At 40.6% G+C, this 26,674-nt stretch overlaps 1 protein-coding gene across 1 annotated transcript in view; it reads right to left on the reverse strand.

The window, feature by feature from the left end:
• The window catches only part of LPA (lipoprotein(a)), a 132,794-nt gene that overhangs the window by 46,336 nt on the left and 59,784 nt on the right, over positions 1–26,674 (reverse strand). Inside the window, exons 19-27 of the mRNA NM_005577.4 lie at positions 23,100–23,281; positions 21,683–21,842; positions 17,537–17,718; positions 16,141–16,300; positions 13,127–13,284; positions 11,736–11,895; positions 8,632–8,813; positions 7,229–7,388; positions 706–887 (exon numbers count right to left, since the gene is read on the reverse strand). Coding sequence (NP_005568.2) covers positions 706–887; positions 7,229–7,388; positions 8,632–8,813; positions 11,736–11,895; positions 13,127–13,284; positions 16,141–16,300; positions 17,537–17,718; positions 21,683–21,842; positions 23,100–23,281 — 1,526 coding nt within the window. The remainder of the gene's footprint in view (positions 1–705; positions 888–7,228; positions 7,389–8,631; positions 8,814–11,735; positions 11,896–13,126; positions 13,285–16,140; positions 16,301–17,536; positions 17,719–21,682; positions 21,843–23,099; positions 23,282–26,674) is intronic.

A 26,674-nucleotide genomic window follows, 5' to 3' on the forward strand; every position in this document is an offset into this window, starting at 1 on the left:
TATTCCCTTGGAGGAGAGATAGGGAATCTTCTAGTGCCCAGAGTCCTGAATTGTAACAAAGCAGAATTCTCTTCCTCTTCTTCTGTAGACTCACTGCCAATGCAGGTTTCATGAGAAGAAGAGGCAAGAACACCTAGAAATTTCTAACTTCAAAGCTGAGGTGAACAGAGCCTGTGAAAGACTGAGATAGGCCAGGGAGAGACAGCATTCGTTGGTTACCTCCTGCTATGCAGCCCCAGGACAATAGAAAAATAATGCAGTCTCCTTAGGTTTCTCTAGGATATCATACTCAAAGGCCATGTTCTTAAGAAACTGCAAACTGTAGATTGCAATGAAAAAAGTCTACTTTAAATCACTGGAAAGGCTTATTGGCTTGGAAATCTTCACATATTTGGCAGGCTGTTAGAATATCCATTTTGGCTAGGACACTGAAATGACCCATTTAATAACCAGGGGAGTGGTAAGTCCAGTGCCCTGGCGGGTCTGTGCCCTTCCTAAAGACACCGTGCCCTTCCTAAAGACACTGCCTCCTCACAGCGTGCCAAAAATCACAGTTCTGGATCCCCCAGAGAGGGCGCTGAGGCTTTCCTCCACATTGCAGACCCTCAACCAACCCTCCAGTGTACCACTGAAGGCTTCTGCATCAGTAAGATTTTCCATGGTTTTTCATCCCAGTATATAGATGTCTAACCACAAATTTCTTACCTTGTTCAGAAGGAGCCTCTGTGCTTGGAACCGGGGCCACTGTGGGAGTTGTGAGGACACTCGATTCTGTCACTGGACATCGTGTCAGGTTGCAGTACTCCCACCTGACACTGGGATCCATGGTGTAACACCAAGGGCGAATCTCAGCATCTGGATTCCTGCAGTAGTTCCTGGTCAGGCCACTGCAAATTTCAAAACAACACAGGTCACCAGAGATGGGAGAATATTCAAGGGCACTTAGCGCCCTCTACATTTTGCTGTAACAAAGTGTTAACAAGTGCCTTTGAAATATTCCCATTATACCACAATAATATTGCCACAAGCACAAATGGTCTTCAGCTTCAACTTTTAAACAACTGTGGACACATCACAGATTATAATTTTTGTTTTAAAACATCAAAAGTAGTATATGCTCTCTATGAAAACTGAGATAATACATGTCTGTACAAGAAAGGATCAGAATATCTTCCTTTCACCTTCTGCCAAATACTTTCCTCCAGAATAAATGACACAGATTTTGAAATATGTATCTTAGATTTTTTAATGCACATACAAAGATATCTCTGTCTGTCTAGCTCTTTGTCTCTCTCTCTATAAGACTATATAGTAATATGTAAGTTGGAACTCAAATACATTTCCCCAAGGAAGAAGTGGCATCCAAGATTATATAATTCCCATGCCAGCCCCCTTACTCTATTTACTCATAGTGTAGCATAAATGCTCTACATTTGCAATATAAAATAATCATGAAAATAGTATTACTATAAATACTGTATCTGGTAGAGCAAGTGGGTTTGGGTCTACAGGACTTATAAAAGCTTCCCTGGAAAACTAGCTCCCAGGCAGGATGCTGCTTCTCTAGGATGGGTTCATGGGCACGACCTCCTCTCCTGCTCTCAGTCCATCCTCTGCTGGCTGCAGCCACTCTGGGACTGAAGGAATGGGTGATGAGTTGAAAGAACAGCGGGACCCAAGGCATAAAGGGAGACGGCTAGGTAGACTATGGGATCTGAAGGGGTCAAGTGGCTATGGATGAGTCAGAAAACAATGCAGTAAGAGGCACAGCAGGTGAAGACCCCAGGCTGGAGGAATCTTGGAGAATGCCTTCCCCATTATGCCTCCCAAGAACGTTGCTCCAACCTCTCAGAATCCTCACATTCATGACCTGTGGCTGTCTGAGAAAACTTGGAACGTATTATGGAGCATGGGAATCCAACACGGTCTCTGTAGAGACTCTACACATGTGACCTAGTCTCAAGCCCAGATCCCCCATTTGAGGATGTTAGGCAGTGGTTTTTAACACAACTGGACGTATCAAGTGATGTAGCACCTGAAACAGATACCTGCTCTGTTTTTCAGTTGAGTATATTTTCACATAGAGTGAGATGCACAGATCTTAAATGTAGCTGGATGAGATTTGATAAATACATATACTTGTGTAGCCCACACTGCCCTCACAATGCAGAACATTTTCACCACCCCAGAAACTCCCTTGTGTGGCTGCTCAATCAATCTCTGCTACCCTCTTCCCACGGCCAGTGTCAAATGCTATTGGTTTCTTTCACCATAAATTGTGTTTTCTATAAACTCACATGAATGGACTCATACAGACTATACACTTTGACGTCTGGCTTCTTTCCTTAATATATTTTTGAGGTTTGTTCATGCTTCTGAGACTATCAGTAACTTGTTCCTTGTTGATGAATAGTATTCCTTTGTATAAATATACTGGAAATTCTTTTTTCATTTTCTTTTGATGAAACCATTTAAATAGTTTTCATTTTCTTTTGATGAAAACATTGAAATAGTTTTTATTTTGAGTTTATAAAACATAAAGCTGCTATGAATATTTATATAGATTTTTGTGGACTTATGTTTTCATTTTGGGGGGTAAATATTCAAGAATAGAATTACAGGTTTGTAGGATAGATGCATATTTATCGAACTTTATAAGAAAGCATCAGACTGATTTTTTAATTTGTTGTATGATTTTGAACTTCCACCAGCATATGAGAGAGTGGCACATTCTAGCTCCAAATCGGTGACACCACTTATTATTGTGTCTTCTTAATGATATCCATGTACACTGGATGTTCAGTGTCATCTTATGAGGGTTATAACTCTTGATTTTTGATGGCTAAGATGTTGTGCACTTTTTCAGGTGATTGTTGGCTCTGTGTGCATCTTCTCCTAAGAAATGACTATTCAAGCCTGTTGCCCATTTTGATTAGGTTGTTTGTCCTCTGATTAGTGAGTGGGAGAAATGTTTCTATACTCTGGATACAGGCCATTTGTCAGATATATGGATGAGAGTGTTTTTCTTCCAGTGTGTTACTTACTTATTTATTTTCTTAACAGTCATATTTGGTGAGCATAAGTTTTTATTCAATGAATGTCCACATTATCATTTGTTTTCTTTTACAGTTAGTGTTTTCTGGTTCTTCCCTCAAAAAATTTTTCCTTCTCCAAGGTTATAAGATACTATACTTTTTCATAGCAGTCTTATATTTCAGCCTCAGAATTAGCTGTTACATTGAGGTCTAAGAGCTATCTCAAATTAATTTAATTTGAGTCATACAGTAGGATTCAAGCGTCACATTTGTTATAGTTTTTTTCTATGGCTATCCAGTTGTTTCAGACCAATTTTGGAAAAAAATTTCCTCATTAAATTGCTTTGCTACCTGTATTGAAAATAAATTGACCATATATGTAAATTTATGCTGACCCTTTTCTGTTTTTGTTTGCATATGTTTTGCCCAATACTATGTATTTTTTGTTTGTTTGTTTGAGAGAGAGAGGGAAGGTTTTAATCTGTCTCCCAGGCTAAAGTTCAGTAGCACAATCATGGCTCATTTCAGCCTCCACCTCATGGGCTCCAGTGATCCTCCCACCTCAGCTTCCTGAATAGCTGGGACTACAGGCACATGGCACCAAACCTGGCTAATTTTTTTAAATATTTGTAGAGATGAGGGTCTTGCTATGTTGCCCAGGCTTGTCTGCAACTCCTCATCTCAGGCAATCCTCTCATCTTGGCCTCCCAAAGTGTTAGGATTACAGCCAAGCGTCCCAGCCAATACCACATGTCTTGATTACTGTGTCTTTATGAGAATTTCCATATTACCATATGCATCTATCCCACAAACTTGTGATTTTATTCCAAGTTTTTTATTCTTTTTAAAGATTGTCTTGGTGATTCTAGCATATACATTCTGTTAGGTTTTCAAGAAAAGACTGCAGGAATTCTGCTTGGGTGTGGGTTGAAACTAAAGATCAGTTTTGTGAAAAGTGACATTGGATTTTTTAATCTATAAGCATGATGTGTCTTTATTTAGATCTTCTAATTTTCTTCTCACCAATGTTATGTAGTATACATGGTATAGTTCTTTTGCATATTGTGTTAAATTTATCAATAAAGTTTTTTTGTTTTGATAGTATTTTGTGGTTTTGATGCCAATTCCCATATGGTATTATTTTTCTTCTACTTACATAGCATTCTTTCACATCTTTTATTACATAATCCTGCTGATGAAACATTCTTTTATTTGTTCTTTGTTTTTAGGAGGACAGAATATGTACTTACGTAACATTCATTTTCAGTGGAATTGTTTGCTGTGCATAGCGTTTAAGCTTGCTGGGTTTTTTTCCTTCTTTTCACTCTAAAGGTGTTATTCCATTGTTTCTGACTTGATCTTTTTTTTTCTTCTTAGCATATTATTCCATTTTTTCTGACCTGATCTTTTCTTCTTCTTACTACTCTAAAGGTGTTATTTCATTGTTTCTGATTTTATCTTGTTTTCCTTCTTACCACTCTGAAGGCGTTATTCTGTTGTTCCTGATTTGATCTTTTTTTCTTTCTTACACTCTAAAGGTGTTATTCCATTGTTTCTGATTTGATCTTGTTTTCCTCCTTACCACTCTAAACGTGTTATTTTGTTGTTTCTGATTTGATCTTTTTTTCTTCTTACCACTCTAAAGGTGTTATTCTATTGTTTCTGATTTGTGTTGTTTCTGATGAGAAGGCATCAGTCATTTGTGTCACTGTTACTCTATGTAAAGGTATGTTTTTTCCCTTGGGCTTCAAATAAGATTTTACTTTCTATCTTTGATTATGGACAATTTAATTATGATGTGTCCAAATAAATCATACAGCTTTACTTTTTAAAATCCTATATCTGATCCATTGAGCTTCTTGACTATGTGAGTTTATCATTTTTTCCATATTTAGAAAGTCATCAGCCATCACTGCTTCAAGTATTTTTTCTGTTCCAATATCTCTTTCCCTTCCTCTGTGACTTGCTTTAAACAAATATTAAATATTTTGATATTTTCATAGATGTCCTTGAGGCTCTGTTTATCTTCTCAGGCTTTGTATAAGCGTGCTATGGTTTGCACCACCCTAATATTTTCTAGTTAGCTTTATCATCTGTACTATCTAATATGATTATAAGGCCATGTAGTGATTTTCTCATTAAAGAGATGTCTTTTTTTTCAGTTCTTGACTCTCCATTTGGTCCTTTTACAATTTTTCTTTCTGTTGATATTATCCATTTATTTATTTCTTGTCCACGCTTTCTTTAAATCCTTGAACACAATTATGATACATACATTTTAAATCTCCTTGCCAATTCTGTTATTTTTATCATTTTTGGGTCTATTTGTATTGACTGATTTTTCTCCTGGTTATGGGTCACACTAAATGCTTTTTGTATGTTTAGCAAATTTTTAAATGTATGCCACACATTGTGCATACTATATAATTGAGCAATTTAATTTTGTTGTTTACCTCTGAAGAGGTTGTTTTCTTCTGACAGGCAATTAATTTACTTGGAGATCATTTGGATCTTTTTAGACTTGGTTTCTAAGCTTTTCTAGGGTGTTTCTGGAGTAGACTTTATTCTAGGAATGCATTAATTCTACTCCTGAAGTATGGTTTTTTGGGGTCTTTGCTGAATGCCCAAGATGTTCAATGAAGTGTCTCTCCTCAGGCTGGTCAGAGCTCAAATACCTCCCAGTGCTATGTGAGCTCTGGCATCTTCATTGAGCTCACTGTTCCCCAGCAGTTGTTCTTTCCCCAGTAGCTGTTCTTTGTTCTCCTTTCTCTCTGGAAACTCTTTCTGTGCATACACAGCTTTCTGTTCAGCCAGAGACTTGAAGAGACTTCTGTGTGTATTCCTGGAGCTCCTTTTCTCCACAAATACTTTCTCATTATTACCTAACCTAGAAAATCTCGGTTTTATTAGTAAACAAAACTCCAGTCTCTCTCCCCAGTTTAGCAAGACTGCTGTGGAATGCTTTGGTTAAAACTCTTTGCCCTTAAGTCTAGGAAGGGTAATTATGGGGTTGATCTTATTTGTTTCCCTTTCTAAACTATCTCAGGTTGTACTGTCTGCTGTTCAACATGTGCAAACAGTTTTTCCATATTATTCATACTCACTTATGGCAAGAGGCCAGTTTTTGTCAGACATGCATTTTTTTGTCCATGTACCTGCCCATTTTAATCACCACATCTGTTTACTTCCTGACTCTCATCTGCATTCCTGCTTTTACTCTGCCTGACAACCCATATCCCTTCAGAAAACTGGTGCTTAGAACCCAGTGTGTTCATACAGGCTAGTACTCATATATAAATATATGCACTCATTTCTATTTTCTTCTTCTTCTTCTTCTTCTTCTTCTTCTTCTTCTTCTTCTTCTTCTTCTTCTTCTTCTTCTTCTTCCTCCTCCTCCTCCTCCTCCTCTTCCTCTTCCTCTTCTTCTTCTTCTTCTTCTTCCTCTTCTTCTTCTTCCTCTTCTTCTTTTCTTCTTCTTCTTCTTTTTTTTTTTTTTTGAGATTGAGTCTTGCTCTGTCACCCAGGCTGGAGTGCAGTGGCATGTTCTCGGCTCACAGCAAACTCTGAATCCCAGGCTCAAGTGTTTCTCCTGCCTCAGCCTCCCAAGTAGTTGGAATTACAGGTACCCACCACCATGACCGGCTAATTTTTTAATTTTTCGTAGAGATGGGGTTTTGCCATGTTAGCCAGGCTGGTCTTGAACTCCTGACCTCTGGTGATCTGCCCGTCTTGTCCTCCCAAAGTGTTGGGATCACAGGCCTGAGCCACTGCACCCAGCCTGAATTTGTTACTTCTGATTCGTGTCAAAAATGGCAAACACAAATTTCACTTCAGGGAATGGAGGATAGAATGATAGAATTGCATGGTTGAAAGACTGCATGGACCTTTAGTGGGCATTGTGGAATGATACTTTGTCTCAGCATTTGGTCATTTGATCTCCTTAGCTTTACATTAATGAGACTTCACCACCTCCATATATCCTGCTGCTTCCATCAAATTGTTATGAAAGATAGCAATCCTAAAACTTCTCTTCATTCAGACCTTTTGCTCAAAAGTAAGTTTCCTGAGACATTTTGCTACAAACTCTGAGTCTATGAGAAATTTGGACCTAGGAAGTGAGCTTGTAGCATGGGCCAGCTAAGAGAAATTTTAGTTGACTATTGTTCCTTTTATGGCTAACATGATAGACATACGCATTTGGATAGTATAATGGGATCCTCCGATGCCAATGTGGTGTCATAGACGACCAAGACTGACATGTTCTTCCTGTGATAGTGGTGGAGAGTGTGCCTCGATAACTCTGTCCATCACCTCGGTAGCAGTCCTGGACCCCAGTGCTGTTTTCAGTTGGTGCTGAAATTAAAAGAGAAAATCAAGCTCAGTATTGCCTAGAAAAGGGAAATGTGAAAAAAATTATGACACACAAAGTGGAATAATCTGAGGATTAACAATTTACACTCTTCTATATTAGCATGCAAATTGAAATGTAGAATAAAAATACAAATAGACTTATAGGATTCTAGAAATTTAATAAGTAGTCATAAATATTTTAATTCAACCCTGGAAAACAAACAAACAAAGAAACAAACAAAAAACAGATCAGAGTGCCTATACTTCAAAATTACACTCATGTGAATGGTCTTTTGCTTACACCTCTTCTGGGTGTTCATGAGAACAAGGCAGGAGACCAGGGTGCCATGCATCAAGCTGTTCAGGCTATAGGTGGTGATTGGCTGTTAGTGGGGGGTATACATGAAACCCTTGCACACTAGACCACTGCTCCTCCAAAGCAAAAGCCTTCAGATTCTGGGGTGTGGGGCAGAAAAGGATCTTGCATCTAGGACTTGTAGGTAAAGACACATTGCCTCTCAGGGAGAAGGAGTACAGGCCAAAATTTTATAGCCTAGGAGGGGAGACAGGGAATCTTGGGCCCAGGATCCCTCATTACAAGAAAGCTGACATCCACTACTCTTCTTCTCAAAAAACAACGGAGATAAATGTTCCATGAGAAGCAGGGATGAGAACACTGAGAAATCCCTTCCCTCAAATCCTAGGTGTGGAAGGCATGCCCAAGATGAAGGTAGGCTGGGGAGATAAACAATTTGGTGGCTATGTACTGCTTCAAAGTCTCAGGACAATACGGATCTAATGAAGACATGTTAGGTTTCTCAAGAACAACAGCCTCAAAAATGGCATTCCTTCAAAATGGTAAAGCTGAAGACTGCAATAAACACTGCCTACTTGAAGAAAGGGCTGGACAGGCTTAGGAGCTTGGTATATCTTCACAAGTTTGGCAGGATGTTAGAATATCCATCTTGGCTAGGACACTAATATGATTCGTTTGATAACAGGGAAGTGATAAATCCAGTGTCCTAGAGGGTCTGTGCCCCTTTTAAAGACACCATCCCTCACAAGGCACTCAACATCCCAGCTCTGGTCCCCCCAGAGAAGGCACTGAAGCTTCCTTCCCATTGGCTGTCCATGACTTCACCTTCGACTTCCTGTGCAGCATGGAAGTTTTCTGCATCACAAAGATTTTGCAAATCTTTTTATCCCAATGTCCGAGGGTATGGTTGTCTGACTGCAGGCTTCTTACCTTCTTCAGAAGGAAGCTCTGTGCTTGGAACTGGGACCACCGTGGGAGTTGTGAGGAGAGTTGATTCCATCACTGGACATTGCGTCAGGTTGCAGTACTCCCATCTGACACTGGGATCCATGGTATAACACCAAGGGCGAATCTCAGCATCTGGATTCCTGCAGTAGTTCCTGGTCAGGCCACTGCAAATTCCAAAACAATACAGGTCACCAGAGATTGGAGAAGATACAGCACCACCTGGCACCCTCTATGTTTTCTTGTAACAAAGTGTAAACAAGCAAATTTGAAATATTCTCACTAAAGTCCCATAACACTCACAAATGGTCCTCAACTTCTAAACAACTGTCAACATTTCAAAGACAGCTTATGATTCTTATTGTAACACATTCAAAGTAATCTATGCTTTATAAGAAAACTGAGAGAAAACATCAATGTGTACCAGAAAGGATCAGAATACCCTCCTTCTACCTTCTGCCAAATACATTCCTTTGGATTAACCGAGAGGGATTTTGAAGTGTGTCTTGGAGATTGTTTCACGTACATACAAATGTTTATCTGTCAGGCTGTCTGTAAGTCTCTATAAAACTGCATGATCTATTCAGTGTTTGATTTGCTGATTTGTTATTTACCTAAGCAATCCATCCACATGATCTACATTCATGAATTTATTTACATACAGTTGATCTCAATATCTACTTCTCAGCTTTCACACCTGGAGGATGCTATAGCAATGGCATCTCTCTCCTGTTACTCATGATGGTGATGGATATGCTCCCTCCTTGGTCTGTCATCTGTTTAGCCAGACTTTGGCCAATCATATAGACTTTTCAAAGAACCTAACTTTCTGTTTCATGGATTTACTCCTTTGTTGGTCTATTTTCTTTTCCACTGAATGTCATTGGTTTGGACTATTTCCTTCCATCCTCTTTCCTTGTGCCTTATTTGCTTTTCCTTGCCTAGATATTTAAGCTGTGGTCTTAGATCAACAGCTGTCAAAGCTGTTGTTCATAGGAACCCCCTTTTTTTCTTTTTAGCTTTGAATTGAGGCAACTTAACTATGATATATCCCAGTAAATCATAGAGTTTTGCTCTTTAAAATTCTATACCTGAGTCATTTAGCTTCTTGACTATGAGTTTCTTGTTTTCTGTATATTTGGCGTGTTGCGAGCCATCATCGCTTCAAGTATAATGTCTGTCATGATATCTTTTTCTTCTCCTTCTGTGACTTGCCTAACACATATATTAAATGTGTGGATTTTTCCTAGATGCCCTTGAGGCTCTGTTGATTAATAGGTTCAGTCTTTGTGTGTGTGTGTGTGTGTGTGTGTGTGTGTGTGTGTGTGTGTGTGTGTTTCTGTCTGTTGGTCTGTCTGTCTGTCCTGTGATTTGTGTAGCTCCTATTGAATTATTTTCTAGGTCACCTTTCCTACCGTAATGTCTAAAGTGATGATAAGGCCATCCAGTGAGTTCTTCATTAGAGATGTACCTTTTCTCAGTTCTTTAATTTTCATTTGGCTCTCCGGTTCTTTTCTTTTCTCTTGCTATTCTGCTTTTGTTTCTCTCATGGTCAGCTTTTGCTGACATTTTCCTGAAACACAGTTCTCAGAGGTGCATTTTAAATGTTCTCACCAATGTCATCAATTCTATAATTTCTGGGCCTGTTTGTGTTGAGTGATTTTTTCTCCCAGTTATGTATCACAGTGAAAGCTTCTTGTGTCTCTATTAAATTTTTAAATAGAAGTAACGCAATAGGAATGCCATATAACTGAGCAACTTGTATTTGTCCCTTGCCTCTAAGGGGGGTTGAGTTTTTTTTTTCTTGTGGAATGCAGTTAATTTACTTGGAGATCATTTGGATCCTTTTAGACTGGCTTGGAAGAAGGGTTGTTGGAGTTTTTCTGGAGTCACCTTGATTCTAGGAATAAGATGATCCCAATCCCAAAATACAGCTTTCTTTGGTCTCTACTGAATGCCCAAAATGTAGTGAGGTGTTTCTCCTCTGAGTGGTCAGAATTCAAATATCCCCCAGTGCTATGTGAGCTCTGGCATCTCCATTGAGCTTACTGTTCCCCTGCAGTTGTTCTTTCCCAAGTAGCTTTTCTTTGTTGTTCTTTCTTTATGAAAACTCTCCCTGTGCATACGCAGCTTTGTATTTAGCCAAAGCCTTGAGGAGACTTCTGTGTGTATTCCTGGAGCTCCTTTCTTCCACAAATCCCTTCTCATTCTTAGCCAGCCTAGAACACATCAGCTGCCTGAGGCATCGCAGACTCCAGTCTCTCTCCTCAGTTAAGCAAGACTGCTGTGGTCAGCTGGGCTCCATCTGCTTGTCCTTCAATCCAACACTGTGTCCAGGAAGGAAGACAGGTTAATGATGAAGTTGATCTCCTTTGATTCCCTTTCTCAGTTCTCTCAAGCCTACCATATCTGTTGTCCAACCTGTGAAAACTGTTTTCTCATGTATTTGATAGTCCTTCATGGCAGAAAGGCTGGCATAGCCAGACATGGGTTTCTGTCCATCTTCCTGAATGTGTAACTCTTCAGCATCTCTATACTTCCTGACTCTCAGCTGCCTTCCTCCTTTTGCCCCTCATGGGCTGGCAACACATAGCTTTTCAGACACCTTGTTCTCAGAACCCAATGTGTTTATACAGGTTAGAGGAGAAAGTGATCGGAAGATCTCGAAGTCAATATAGATATCCTTCACTTGTTACCCAAGACAAACATGGCAAACACAACCTTCACTCCAGGGCTTGGAGATTAGAATGACAGAATTCCCTGGTTGAACTATTTCACTGGTCTTTAGTGGGCATTGTGGAATGGTGCTATTTCTAAGCACATGGTCATATGTTCTTCTGAGCTTTCTATTCATGAGACCTCACCACCTCCAAGTATCCTCCTACTTCTATCAACTATGAGAAAAGAGAGCTGGCCTGACATTTCTCTCCTCTCAGACCCTGTGCCCAAAGCAAGAAGCCTGAGACATTCTGTCCAACATTCTGGGTCTGAGAGAAATTGGGTCATAAGAAGTTAGCTGGAAGCATGGCTCTTCCAGGAGAAATTTAAGTGGGTGGCTGTTTCTCTTGGGAGAAAACTCAAAGACATACCCATTTGGGTAGTATTCTGTGGTTCTCTGATGCCAGTGTGGTGTCATAGAGGACCAAGACTGACATGTCCTTCCTGTAACAGTGGTGGAGAATGAGCCTCGATAACTCTGTCCATCACCATGGTAGCAGTCCTGGACTGTGGGGCTTTGCTCCGTTGGTGCTGAAATTCAAAGAGGAGAAAACAAACTGAGTAATTTCCAGAACACAGAAGCATGAGAAAAAAAATCCATGATAGAAACAGGACATCATCTCTGAAAATGACGACCATGCTCTGTTCTACATTAGTAGGCAGATGGACATGCCAATAACAAAGCTCAAAGATTCATAGCATTCTGGAACTTCAATGAGTTTTTAGAAAGATTTTCTTTAAAACCTGGGCACCAAAGGACAGATCAGAGTGCCTATCAGTCAAAATTGCACTCATGTGCCTGTTCTTTGGCAAAGATCTCTTTTGGGTGTTCCTGAGAACAAGGCAGGAGACCAGAGTGCCATGCATCAGGCGGTGCAGGCTGTAGGTGGTGGTTGTCAGTGGGGGCAGACATGAAACCGTCACACATTTCTCCAGAGCACTGATCCTCCAAAGCCAAAGCCTTAAGTTTCTGGAAGATGGGGCAGGAAGTGGTCCTCCATCTAGGACTTCCAGGCAAAGACACATTGTCTCTCAGAGAGGGGTACTGGCCAAAATTTTATTCCCTTGGAGGGACGGCGGGAAATCTTGGGCCCAGGATCCTGCATTGCAACAAAGTAGACATCCACTACTCTTCTTCACAAACAGCAACACAGATACGTGTTCCATGAGAAGGAGGGGCAAGAACACTAAGAAATCCCTTCCATCAAAGCCTAGGTGTGCAGCACCTGCCTAAGATTAAGGTAGACAGGGAGATAGAGCATTTGCTGGCTATGTACTGTTACCTAGACCCAGGAGGATATGGAACTAAGTAAAGTCATATCAGGTTTCTCAAGGATGACAGACTCAAAAACCACATTCCTCTGAAACTGTAAAGCTGAAGTTTGCAATGAGTACTGTCTACTTGAAGAAATACCAGGAAAGGCTCATGATGAGCTTGGTAAATCATCACAAATTTGGCAGGATGTTAGAATATCCATTTTCACTAGGACACTGAAATAATCTATTGAATAACCAGGGGAGTGGTAAATCCAGTGCCCTAGAAGGTCTGCACGCTTCCTAAAGACACCACCCTGTCACGGGGTGCCAAAAATCTCAGCCCTGGTTCCCCCAGAGAAGGCGCTGAGGCTTCCTTCCCATTGGCTGACCCTGAGTCCACATTCAGATTCCCGTGCAGCATGGAAGGCTTCTGTATCACTAAGATTTTGCAACTCTTTTTATCCCAACGTCCAAGGGTGTGGTTGTCTGGCCAGAGACTTCTTACCTTGTTCAGAAACAGCCGTGGACGTCGCAAGGACACTTGATTCTGTCACTGGACATTGTGTCAGGTTGCAGTACTCCCATCTGACATTGGGATCCATGGTATAACACCAAGGACTAATCTCAGCATCTGGATTCCTGCAGTAGTTCCTGGTCAGGCCACTGCAAATTACAAAACAATACAGTTCACCAGAGATGGGAGAAGATACAAGGGCACCAGACATCCTCTACATTTTGTTGTAACAAAGTGGTAAAAAGTGACTTTGAAATATTCTCACTAAAGGTCCTGTAACAATCACAAATCGTCCTCAACTTCTAAACAACTGTGAACATTTCAAAGACAGATTATCATTCTTATTGTAACACATCCAAACTCGTCTATACTCCATAAGAAAACCGAGAGAAAACATCAATGTGTACAAGAAAGGATCAGAATACCCTCCTTCCACCTTCTGCCAAATATGTTACTTTGGATTAACTGAGAGATTTTGAAGTGAGTCTTGTAGATTGTTTTATGCACGTACAAATGTTTCTCTGTCTGGCTATCTGTATGTCTTTCTATAGGAGTACCCAATCTATTCAGTATCTGGTTTGCTGATTTGTTGTTTACCTAAGGAATTGATCCACATGATCTACATTCATGAATTTATTCACATACAGTTTTTCTTGATATCTTCTTGTCAGCTTTCAGACCTGGAGTATGGTATAGCAATGGCTCCTCTCCCCTGTTACTTCAAATGGTGATGGTTGTACTCCCTCCTTGGTCTGTCATCTGTTCAGCCAGACTGTGGTCAATCACATGAATCTTTTCAAAGAACCAACTTTCTGTTTCATGGATTTACTCCTTTGTTGGTCTATTTTCTTGTTCACTGAATGTCATTGGTTTGGACTATTTCCATCCATCCCCTTTCCTTGTGTCTTATTTGCTTTTCCTTGCCTAGATATTTAAGCTGTGGTCTTAGATCAACTGTCAAAATGTTTGTTCATAGGAACCCCCTTTTTTTCTTCTTAGCTTTGAAATCAGACAATTTAACTATGATGTACCCCAGTAAATCAGAGTTTTGCTCTTTAAAAATCTATACCTGAGTCATTGAGCTTCATGACTATGAATTTCTCATTTTCTGTATGTTTGGAAATTTGTCAGCCGTCATGGCTTCAAGTATAACTTCTGTCACATTATCTTTTTCCTCTCTTTCTGTGACTTGCCTAACACATATATTAAATGTGTGGATGTTTTCCTAGATGTCCTTGAGGCTCTGTTGATTAATTGGTTCAGTCATTGTGTGTATGTGTATTTGTGTCTGTCTGTCTGTCTTGTGGTTTGTCTAGCTTTAATTGAATCATTTTCTCGTTCACCTTTTCCTACCATAATATCTAAACTGGTTATAAGGCCATCCAGTGAATTCCTCATTACAGATATAACTTTTCTCAGTTTTTAAATTTCCATTTGGCTCTTCAATTCTTTTCTTTTCTGATATTATGCATTCATTTCTCTCATGGTCAGCTTTTGCTGACATTTTCCTGAAACACAGTTCTCAGAGGTGCATTTTAAATGTTCTTGCCAATGCCATAATTTCTATTATTTCTGGGCCTATTTGTGTTGAGTGATTTTTCTCCCAGTTATGGATCACAGTGAAAACTTCTTTTGTGTCTAGTAAATTTTTAAATGCAAGTTGCACTCTGGGGATGTCATATAACTGAGAAACTTGTATTCGTTCCTTACCTCTAAGGAGGGTTGAGTTTACTTTTTTCTGGAAGGCAGTTAATTTACTTGGAAATCATTTGGATCCTTTTAGACTGGCTTGGAAGAAGGGTTGCTGGAGTGTTTCTGGAGTCACCTTATTTCTAGGAATCCGAAGATCCTACTCCCAAATTATGGCTTTCTTTGACCTCTACTGAATGCCCAAGATGTTCAGTGAGGTGTCTCTCCTCTGAGTGGTCAGAACTCAAATATCCCCCAGTGCTATGTGAGCTCTAGCATCTCCATTGAGCTCACTGTTCCCTTGCAGTTGTTCTTTCCCCAGTAGCTTTTCTTTATTGTTCTTTCTTTGTGAAAACTCTCCTTGTGCATACGCAGCTTTGTATTTAGCCAAAGCCTTGAGAAGACTTCGGTGTGTATTCTTGGAGCTCCTTTCCTCCACAAATCCCCTCTCATTCTTAGCCAGCCTAGAATACGTCAGATGCCTGAGGCATCACAAACTCCAGTCTCTCTCCTCAGTTAAGCAAGACTGCTGTGGTCAGCTGGGCTCCATCTGCTTGCCCTTCAAGGGTCTCAAGGAAGGATGCCAGGGACATGATAAGGTTGATCTCCTTTGATTCCCTTTCTGAATTTTCTCAGGCCTGTCATGTCTGTTGTCCAACCTATGAAAACACTTTTCCTATGTATTTGATAGTCCTTCATGGCAGAAACGCTGACGTGGTCTGAACTGGGTTTCTGTCCATCTTCCTGCATGTGTAACTCTTCAGAATCTTTATACTTCCTGACTCTCAGCTGCCTTCCTACTTTTGCCCCTCATGTGCTGGCAACACATAGCTCTTCAGATACCTTGTTCTCAGAACCCAGGTACAGGTTAGAGGAGAAAGTGATTGGAAGATCTGGATGTCAACATAGATATCCTTTATTTGTTGCCCAAGATGAACATGGCTAATACAACCTTCACTTCAGGACTTGGAGATTAGAATGACAGAAATCCCTGGTTGAACTATTGCATTGGTCTTTAGTGGGCATTGTGGAATGGTGCTATTTCTAAGCACGTGGCCATGTGTCCTGAGCTTTCTATTCATGAGAACTCACCACCTTCAAATATCCTCCTGCTTCTGTCAACTATGAGAAAAGAGAGCTGGCCTGACATTTCTCTCCTTTCAGACACTGTGCCTGAAGAAAGAAGCCTGAGACATTCTACCCAACATTCCAGATCTGAGATAAATTTGTCATAAGAAGTTAGTTGGAAGCATGGCCCTTCCAAGAGAAATGTAAGGGGGCTGCTGTCTGTCTTTGAAGAAAACTCAAGGTTGTACCCATTTGGATAATATTCTGTTGTCCTCTGATGCCAGTGTGGTGTCATAGAGGACCAAGACTGACATGTCCTTCCTGTGACAGTGGTAGAGAATGAGCCTCGATAACTCTGTCCATCACCATGGTAGCAATCCTGGACCCCGGGGCTTTGCTCCGTTGGTGCTGAAATTCAAAGAGGAGAAATCAAGCTGAGTAATTTCTAGAACACAGAAGCATCAGAAGAAATCTGTGACTGAAACAGGATCATTGTCTCTGAGAAAGACTACCATGCTCTGTTCTGTACTAGCAGGCAGATGGACATACCAATAATAAAACCCAAAGATTCATAGCATTCTAGAACTTTAACGAGTTCTTAGAAAGATTTCCTTTAAAACACAGGCACCAAAGGAAAGATCAGAGTGCCTATCAGTCAAAATTGCACTCATGTGCATGCTCTTTAATATAGACATCTTCTGGGTGTTCCTGAGAATAAGGCAGGAAACTAGACTGCTATGCATCAGGCTGTGCAGGTTGTAGGTGGTGATTGACTGTCAGTGGGGACAGACATGAAACCGTCACACATTTCCCTAGACTGCTGATCCTCCAAAGCCAAAGCCTTCAGCTTCTTGAAGATGGGGCAGGAAGCGGTCCTGCATCTAGGACTCGTAGGCAAAGACAAATTGTCTCTCAGAGAGGGCTACTGGCCAAAATTTTATTCCCTTGGAGGGATGGCTGGTATCTTTGGCCCAGGATTCTGCATTGCAACAAAGTAGATATCCACTACTCTTCTTCTCAGAGACCAACACAGATATATGTTCCATGAGAAGGAGGGGCAAGAACACTGAGAGATCCCTCCCATCAAAGCCTAGTTGTGCAGGACTGGCTTAAGATGGAGATAGGCCAGAACGATGGAGCATTTGTTGGCTATGTACTGCTACCTGGACCCAGAAGTATATGGAACTAAGAAAAGTCATATTAGGTTTCTCAAGGATGACAGACTCAAAAACCGCATTCCTCCGAAACCGCAAAGCCAAAGATGCAATGAACACTGACTACTTGAAGAAATACCATGAAAGGCTTATCATGAGCTTGGTAAATCTTCACAAATTTGGCAAAATGTTAGAATATTCTTCTGGCTAAGACACTAAAATGATCCTTTGAATAACCAGGGGAGTGGTAAGTCCAGTGCCCTAGAGGGTCTGCACCCTTCCTATAGATACCACCCTTTCACAGGGTACCAAACATCACAGCTCTGGTTCTCCCAGAGAAGGCGCTGAGTGTTCCTTCCCAGTGGCTGACCCTGAGTCCACATTCTACTTGGAATTGTGTGAGCATGGAAGGCTTCTATATCACTAAGATTTTGCAACTCTTTTCATCCCAACGTCCTAGGGTGTGGTTGTCTGGCCATAGACTTCCTACCTTCTTCAGAAGAAGCCTCTGTGCTTGGATCTGGGACCACCGTGAGAGTTGCAAGGACACTTGATTCTGTCACCAGGCATTGTGTCAGGTTGCAGTACTCCCACCTGACACTGGGATCCATGGTGTAACACCAAGGGCGAATCTCAGCATCTGGATTCCTGCAGTAGTTCCTGGTCAGGCCACTGCAAATTTCAAAACAACACAGGTCACCAGAGATGGGAGAAGATTCAAGGGCACTTAGCGCCCTCTACATTTTGCTGTAACAAAGTGTAAAAAGAGACTTTGAAATATTTTCACTAAAGGTCCCATAATATGCACAAATGGTCCTCAACTTCTAAACAACTGCGAACATCTCAAAGACAAATTATCATTCATATTGTAACACATCCAAAGTCATCTGTGCTCCATAAGAAAATTGAGAGTAAACATCAATGTTTACTCTGTACATTGTGCAAGTTGCACTTGTACTTGTACAACTTCAATTGTACTTGTACAATTATACTCTGTACATTGTACAATGTTGTACAATGTACAAGAGGATCAGAATACCCTCCTTCCACCTTCTGTGAAATATGTTCCTCCAGATTAACTGAGATTGATTTTGAAGTGTGTCTTGTAGATTGTTTTATGCACATACAAATATTTCTCTGTCAGCCTCTCTGTATGTCTCTCTACAGGACTACACTAACTATTCAGCATCTGGTTTGCTGATTTGTTGTCTTCCTCAGGAATTGGCCCACATGATTAACATTCCTGAATTTATTCACATACAATTGTTCTCAAAATCTTCTTTTCAGCTTTCAGAACTGGAAGATGCTATAGTAATGGCACCTCTCCTCTGTTACTCCAGATGGTGATGGTTGTGCACCCTCATTGGTCTGTCATTTGTTTAGCCAGACTGTGTTCAATCATATGGATCTTTTCAAAGAATCAACTTTCTGTTTCAAGAGTTTACTCCCTTGTTGGTCTCTTTTCTTGTTCACTGAATGTCACTGGTTTGGACTACTTCCTTCCATCTGCTTTCCTTGGCTCTTATTTGCTTTTTTTTTTTTTCTTGTGTAGATATTTAAGCTGTGGTCTTAGATCAACAACTGTCAAAGTCTTTGTTCATAGGGGATTCCAAAGAGCTTTTCTTTTTCAAAACACAAGATGAATATTTATAGTATAAGAAACCAACACTGAGAATTTTTTTAACACACAAAGTCAACAATTGCCCATTTTCTTAGCCATCAGAGACATGATGCCATTACATATTATGTAACTGCTGGAAAACTCCCCTCTTCTCTTGTTGGAAAATGAAAGTAAAAAGGGCCAATAGCATCTTACTTTTCACGTAGCAAAGTCCTTTAACCTCATGGACTGTCTCTGAAGGTACTCAAAGGTCCTCAGGTTTCTCTAGACTACACTTTGAGAATTGCAGTTTGAAATCTTGATTATTACATGCTTCTGTTTTTCCCTAAGAGCATCTAAAATTATGTAAAAGCCTAAAGACATTCACTGCATCTCCTAAGTTTGGATAAATTGTGTTATATTCTTACTCAGTTCAAAACTTTTCTAAATTCCTTAGTGATGTTTTCTTTGTCCCAAAGAGTATTTTGAAATGCACCGTATGACTCCCAAATATTTGAGAAGCTGGCAAACTTCTCATTATTCATATCTCACTTTATTCTGGGAGAATAAAGTGACACACTCTGTATGACTTTAATTCTTTTAAATCTATGGAGACTTGCTGGAAGGTCATGTGTAGAGTACACCTCAGTGAATGCTCCATGCACACTTTAATGTGTACTCGGTAGTTCGGTATAATGTTAAATAGGTCGACGTTTTTATTGAGAACAAAGATACTATGTCTAATTTTCTGCATATTTGTTCTAGCCTGTTGTGTTTGGGAAAGATTTATAACCATAGTGAGAGAATCAAGGAAATCTCTAACTCAGAGTGTGGGCTTATCTATTTCTCTCTTCAGTTGTGTCAGTTTTTCAATCATACATCACAAAAGCTCTTATTAGGGTAAAACACATTGAGCATTGCTACATATTCCTCAATGAACAATTTTTACTTCTCTATGTTTCAATGCTCGTGTGGCTCTAGGATTCACACCTGTGTGGGTGTGGGTGTGTGCACGTGTGCCATTGTGTGTATATATGTGCAGCTATTTCTGTAGATTCTATTGAATTATTTTTCAGTTAATTTTTTCCCTGGAAACAACTAACCTGATTGGGAGACCATCCAGTGAATTTTTCATTTAAGATATACCTTTTAATAGTCCTTTAATTTGATTTGACTCTTTTATCCTTTTACTTTCCCTTGATATGATATCTGTTACGTTCCATGTTTATGTTTTCTTAAATCCAGCAATGCAGTTATGATACTAATATGTCAAATTCTCATGCCATTTAAATCATTTCTATCATTCCTGGTTCTATTTTTATTGACTGATTATTTTCCTGGTTATGGTTCACACTAAATGCTTTTTTATGTGTAGTAAAGTTATAAATTTAGGACTCACACTGTGGATATTGCATAGCTCAGCAACTTAACTTTGTTGTTCACCTGTAAAGAGTGTTGAGTTTTCTTCTAGAAGGCAGTTAATTGACTAGGACACCATTTTAATGCTTGGAGATTTGCTTTTCAGCTTTGCTAGGTTTTTTCTGGAGCTGCCTTTATTCTAGGAATATACAAAGTCTACTCATAAAGTCTGACTTTTCTGAGGTCTCTACTGAATGCCCAAGATTTTCAATGAGGTCTCTTCTCTCTAGCTGGTCAAAACTCCAATATTCCAGAGCACTATGTGAGCTCTGTCACCTTTATTAAGCTCACTGTTCCCTTGTAGTTGTTGTTCCTCAATATATGGTGTTTTTTTGCCATATTTTCTTGTGGAAAATCTTCTATGCAAGTGCTGCTTTATGTTTAGACTAACACTTGAGGAGACTTCTATGCCTGGAGCTCCTATCCTCCACAAGTCCATTCTTACTCTTAGCATGGCTAGAAAATCCTAACTACCTGAGTAATCCCAAAGTCCAATCACTCTCCTCTGTTCAGCAACATGGCTACAGTCAGCTTGGGCTCCATCTCCTTGCTCTTCAGTGCAGGAAGGGTCTCCTTGAAGAAAGCCAAGGCATTGATGGGTTGATCTCATTTTCTCCCTCTTGCAATACTCTTGGTCCTCTAGCATCTGTTGTTCAACATGTGGAAACCGTTTTGCCGTGTCTTTGGTAGTCACTTATGGCCGAAAGACTGGCCATAGAATGGCCAGATCATGGCTTCTGTCCATCTACCCGCCCCTTTTACTTTTCAGCATCGCCCCTTTGCTGACTCTCATCTGCTTTCCTGCCTTTGTTCTTCTCCTCTGGGCAGACCGTATCTCTTCAGACCACTGGTGCTCAGGACCAAGTGTGTTTGTACCCATTGAAAAAGAAGTAGATAGAAAAAGATTTGCCTCTCCATAGATGTGCAAGTATCAATTCCCTGTGACCCAAGATGCAAAAGGCCAACACAACATTCACTTCAGGGACTAGAGCTTAGAATGATAGAATTCCAAGGTGAAAAGGTTGTATTAACCCTCAGCCGATGTTGTAGAAGGATACTCTAACTCTTTGGTCATTTGTCATCCCGGCTGTTTTATTAATAAGATCTTCTCAACTCCATATATCCTTCTGCTTCCATAAAACTAGGAGGAAGGAGAGCCAGCTTAAAAAATGTCTTCTCAGCCAGGCACGGTGGCTCACGCCTGTAATCCCAGCACTTTGGGAGGCTGAGGCAGGCGGATCACGAGGTCAGGAGACCAAGACCATCCTGGCTAGAACAGTGAAACCCTGTCTCTACTAAAAATACAAAAAATTAGCCGGGTGTGGTGGTGGGTGCCTGTAGTCCCAGCTGCTAGAGAGGCTGAAGCAGGAGAATGGTGTGAACCCGGGAGGCGGAGCTTGCAGTGAGCCGAGATCATGCCACTGCACTCCAGCCTGGGCAACAAAGCAAGACTCTGTCTCAAAAAAACAAAGTCTTCTCTAAGAACTTTTGCTCACAGGAAATGTTCCTCTGCATCTGAGCCAAGTTGAGTCCTGAGCAGTCACCTTGAAGCATGACTCTTCTAACAGAAACTTCCATTGGCCCTTCCTTCGCTTATGGTAAAGAACAAAGACGTACGCATTTGGGTAGTTTTCTGGGGTCCGACTATGCTGGTGTGGTGTCATAGATGACCAAGCTTGGCAAGTTCTTCCTGTGACAGTGGTGGAGTATGTGCCTCGGTAACTCTGTCCATAATGGTAGTAGCAGTCCTGTACCCCGGGGGTTTCCTCAGTCAGTGCTGAAATTAAAACAGAAGACATCAAGCTTATTATTTCCTAGAACAGAAAAATACAGGAAGCCATTTATGACATAAACCAAAAAAGAGTCACTGAGATTTACAACCATTCTCTATTCTTTATTAATAGGCAAATGGACATGAGAAAACACACAAACAAACACGAAAGTAAGAGATGCCTACCATTCTAGAACTGTAGTAAGTTCTTAGAAATATTTCATGTAAAACTTAGTGGAAAAGAAATATCAGATTGCTTCTCATCGGAAACTCCACTAACATGGAAGCTCATTTCTAGGAATCTCTACAGAGTGTTCATGACGACATGGAACAGCATAGAAGAAAGGGTGATGCATTTGGCAAAGCTGAAAAGCAAGTCTCCAAGCATTAAAATGGTTTTTTGGGGAGGAGGCAAGGACATATAAAAACCTTGCATGTGTCCCTAGATGATTGCTCAAAAAAGAAAGCATTAAACTCCTGGTGATGGGGCAGACAACAGTCCTGCAGCTAAAACTGTAGGCAACAACACTTCACTTCTCAGGGATGAGTGGAGGCCAAAAGCTTATCACCTACAATAAGATAGGGAATCCTCTCGTGCCCAGCATAATGCATTGCAATAAAGCAAAAGTCTACTACTCTTTTTCTCCAGACCCCCCGCAGGTACAAGTTCCATCAGAAAGAGGCAAAAGCACACGAAAAAATCACTCCCTTCAAAGCTAAGAACTGCACAACCTGCCTCGGACTGAAAAAGACCTGAGAGATAGAGCTTCGGGAGCTCATGTACTACTCCACAGACCCAGGGAGATATGGAATTAATGCAACCCAGTTAGGTTTCTCAAGGATAACAGGATCTAGAGCCACATTTCTCGGAATCTGCAATGCTGAAGATTGCACTGAATGCTGTCTACTTGAAGAAATCCCTGGAAAAGTTTACTGGCTTGGAAAGACACACACATCTGACAGCATATTACAATAAGAATTTTGTCTAGGACAATGAGATAGCCCCTTTTACAATGAGGGGAGTGGTGAAGTCGAGCACCCAGAATGGTTTCCGCCCATCCTAAAGACACAGCTCGCACAGGTTGCACCAAAAATCACACCTCTGGCTCCCCCAGAGAGTGCGCTAAGGCTTCCTCCCACATGGCAGACCCAGAACCAACACACGAGAACCAGTGTAGCACTGAAGGGTTGTGCGTCAGTGGGGGTATCCATGGCTTTTCATCCCAGCATCCAAGCAGGTAAATGTCTGGCACAACTTCTTACCTTGTTCAAAAAAAGCCTCTAGGCTTGGAGCCAGAATAACATTCGGAGGGACGAAGGCAGTCCATTCTGCATCTGAGCATCGTGTCAGGTTGCAGTACTCCCACCTGACACTGGGATCTGTTGTATAACACCAAGGGGCTGCCACAGGATCTGGATTTCGGCAGTAGTTCTTGATCAAGCCACTGGAAATTCCAAAAGAATACACATCACAAAAAATGGGTACATATGCAGGAACACTGTATATTTTGCTACAACAAGGTCATTACTGGTGCCTTTGAAATATTCCCAAAAGAGATACCATACAATTGCCACAATGACAAATGGCTCTCAATCTCTAATCCTCTCTGCACATTTCTCATACTTAATATATTATCACTTTTTTTAAAGAAAAAAAATCTAATGCAGCACACACTTCCTAGAAACACTGAGATTATACATACATGTGGCCAAAAAGGGATCAGAATATCCTCCTTCTGCCTTCTGCCCAATCCATCTCTCTGGAATAACTGGTATGGATTTTGACGTGTGTATTGTGGAATTGGTTATGCACATACAAAAGTATCTCTATCTGTCTAGCTCTCCGTATCTCTCTGTGTAGGACTTCATATAGTAATGTGCGAGTTGGAACTAACACATAGTTCTCCAGAGAAAAAAATGGCATCCAGCATGATATCCTTCCCAGGCCAGCAGTCTCATTCAATGTACTCAAAATGTAGCCAAAAGGCTCTATGTTCAGCATGTAAAACCATTGCACAAAAAGTATTCCTGTCTGTCGATACCGTATCAGGTGGGTCAAGTGGGTTTCTTTCTGCAAGACTTCTCAAAGCTGCCCTGGAAACCTAGCTTTCAGGCAGGATGCAGTATCTCTAGGATGGGTTCCTGGTCAGGACTTCCTCTCCTGCTCTCAGTCCATCCTCTGCTGGCCACAGCAATTCCGGGACTGAGGGAATGGGGGATGAGTTGAAAGAACAGTGGCACTCATGGCATAAAGGGAGACAGCTGGGCAGACTATGAGGTCTGAAGAGGTCGGGCAGCTATGGAGGACCTCAGGCTGGGGAAATCTCAGAGCATTCACTCCTCCTTATGCCTCCTAAGAACATTGCTCCAACCTCTCAGAATCCTCCCATTCGTGACCTGTGGCTGCCTGGGAAAACGGGAAATGTATTATGGGCCATGGGGATCCAACACTGTCTCTCTAGAGACTCTACACATGTGACCTAGTCTCAAGCCCAGACCCTCCATTCCAGGAAGCTGGTTCAATGAGCAACTGGATGTGCTCAGAGCTTGAGTACTTGAAAGACTTCTTTTTCTTCCTTGGCTTCCCTCTTTTGGATACATGGAAAATTCTTATTATATAATATCCCTCAGAATTCAAAATTTTATGATTGCTTTAGGATTTACAATATCCCTTTGGACCCACAAATTCAACCTTTCATTAATATTACATACCATCGTGGATAAGGTAAGAAACTTACAATGGTACACTTCCAATTATTCCCCACATGATTTAGTCTATATGTTCAAATTTTTACCTCTACATATGCTAAAGTTAAATATATTGCTATCATTTTGCTTCAAGTAGTCAACTCTCATTTAAAAAGATATAGAAATTTGATCAAGAAAATATTTTGCATTTACATCTACATTTGCCATTTGCTGGGTTCTTCATTACGTGGGCTGCAGAAAGTTCTCCTCTTGAACTATTCTTCTTCTAGCTAATTTTCTTTGGGCAACATCTCTTGTTACACAAGCCTGCTGATTCCAAATTATTAGTTTTTGGTTTATTTATTTGGGGCAGTGCACAATATGCATTTATCCAACATGGATGATCTTCAAGGCATTTTATTGCTGGATGTAGCATTCTCATTTGATCTCTTTTTTTTCTAGTTTATCATTTTAATGATATCCCCTGTTAACTGGGTTCCAGTGTTTCTGATGAGAATGCATTAGCAATTTGTATCACTGTTCTTCTAGCAAGACACAGCTCTTTTTCCTCCAGTTTCTCATGAGATGTTTCTTGTTATTATATCTTTGCCTTCTGACTGTTGAACGGTGATGTACAAAAGTGAATCATACAGTTTTTTTTTTTTTTTTTTTGGAAATTCCCTGTCTGATTCATTCAGCTTCTTGAATCTGTGGTTTTTAATATTCTTCTTATTTGAAAAGTTTTTAGCTATCCTTGCTTCCAGTATTTGTTCCTGTAGCAATCTCTCCTTCCTCTCCTTCTGTGACTTCCTACCCACATGCAGGAAATCTTTTTATATTTTCCCGCCTGTCTGTGAGGATCAGTGGATTTCATTTTTTAGTATTTGTGGAGGTGTGTGTGTGTGTGTGTGTGTGTGTGCGTGCATGTTTCTAAGCCTGTGCATGTGTGAGTATGTGTGTATATGTGTGTGTCATTTGTGTATGTGTAGCTGGTTCTGTAGGTGGTATAAAATTGTTTTTCAGTTAGTTTTTACTTCTGAAACATCTCACTCCATTGGGAATACATCCAGTAATTTTTTCATTTAAGACATACCTTCTTATACTAGTTCTTTAATTTAATTTGGCTCTTCTATACTGTTACTGTCTCTTGATATGGTATCTGCTTCATTCCGTATTCATGTTTTCTTAAAACCTAAAACTCAGTTGACATATTGATATGTCAAATTTTTTGCCATTCTAATCATTTCTGTCATTTCTAGGTCTATTTGTATTGACTGATTTTTCACCTGGTCATGGTTCATACTAAAAGCTTCTCTATGTGTAGTCAAGTTTTAAATTTAGAACTCACACTGTGAACACCACATAGCTGAGCCACTTGACTTTGTTGTTTACCTCTAAAGAGGGTTTTCCTCTCCCAGGCAGTTAATTGACTTGGAAATGATTTTAATGCTTGGAGACTTGCTTTTCAGTTTTGCCAGGGTTTGTCTAGAGCTGCCTTTTTTTCTAGAAATTTACTAATTCTACTCCTAAAGTATGACTTTTCTGGAGTCTCTACTGTATTCCCAAGAGGTTCAGTGAGGTCTCTCCTCCAGCTGGTCAGAACTCCAGTATCCCAGAATGCTATGAGGGCTCTGTCCTCTTTATTGAGCTCACTGTTCAATCGCAGTTGCTATTCCTCAGGATATATTCTTTTCTCTACTTTCTTGTGGAACCTTTTTCTGGGCACATGCAACGTCATGTTTAGCCAAAGATTCGAGGAGACTACTATGCGTGCCCCTGGAGCTCCTTTCATCCACAAATCCATTCTCATTCTCAGCAGGCCTATAAAATCCTAGCTACCACAGTAGTCCCAAATTCCAATCTCTCTCCTGCATTCAGGAAGATGGCTACAGTCCATCTGGGCTCCATCACCTTGCTCTTCAGTGCAAGAAGGGCCTCCAGGAAGAAAGCCAAGGTATCTATGGAGTTGATCTCATTGTTCCCCCTGTCACTATTCTTTTGGTCCACTACTGTCTGTTGTCCAACATGTAGAAACCATTTTTCCATGTCTTTGGTGTCACTTATGGCCTAAAGCCTGGCCATGGGCTGGTCAGACCTGGGCTTCTGTCCATCTATCCACCCTTTTACTTTACAGGATCTCTCTCTTTGCT

This window comes from Homo sapiens, chromosome 6 (genome assembly GCF_000001405.40).
Source record: "Homo sapiens chromosome 6, GRCh38.p14 Primary Assembly".
NCBI lineage: Eukaryota > Metazoa > Chordata > Mammalia > Primates > Hominidae > Homo > Homo sapiens.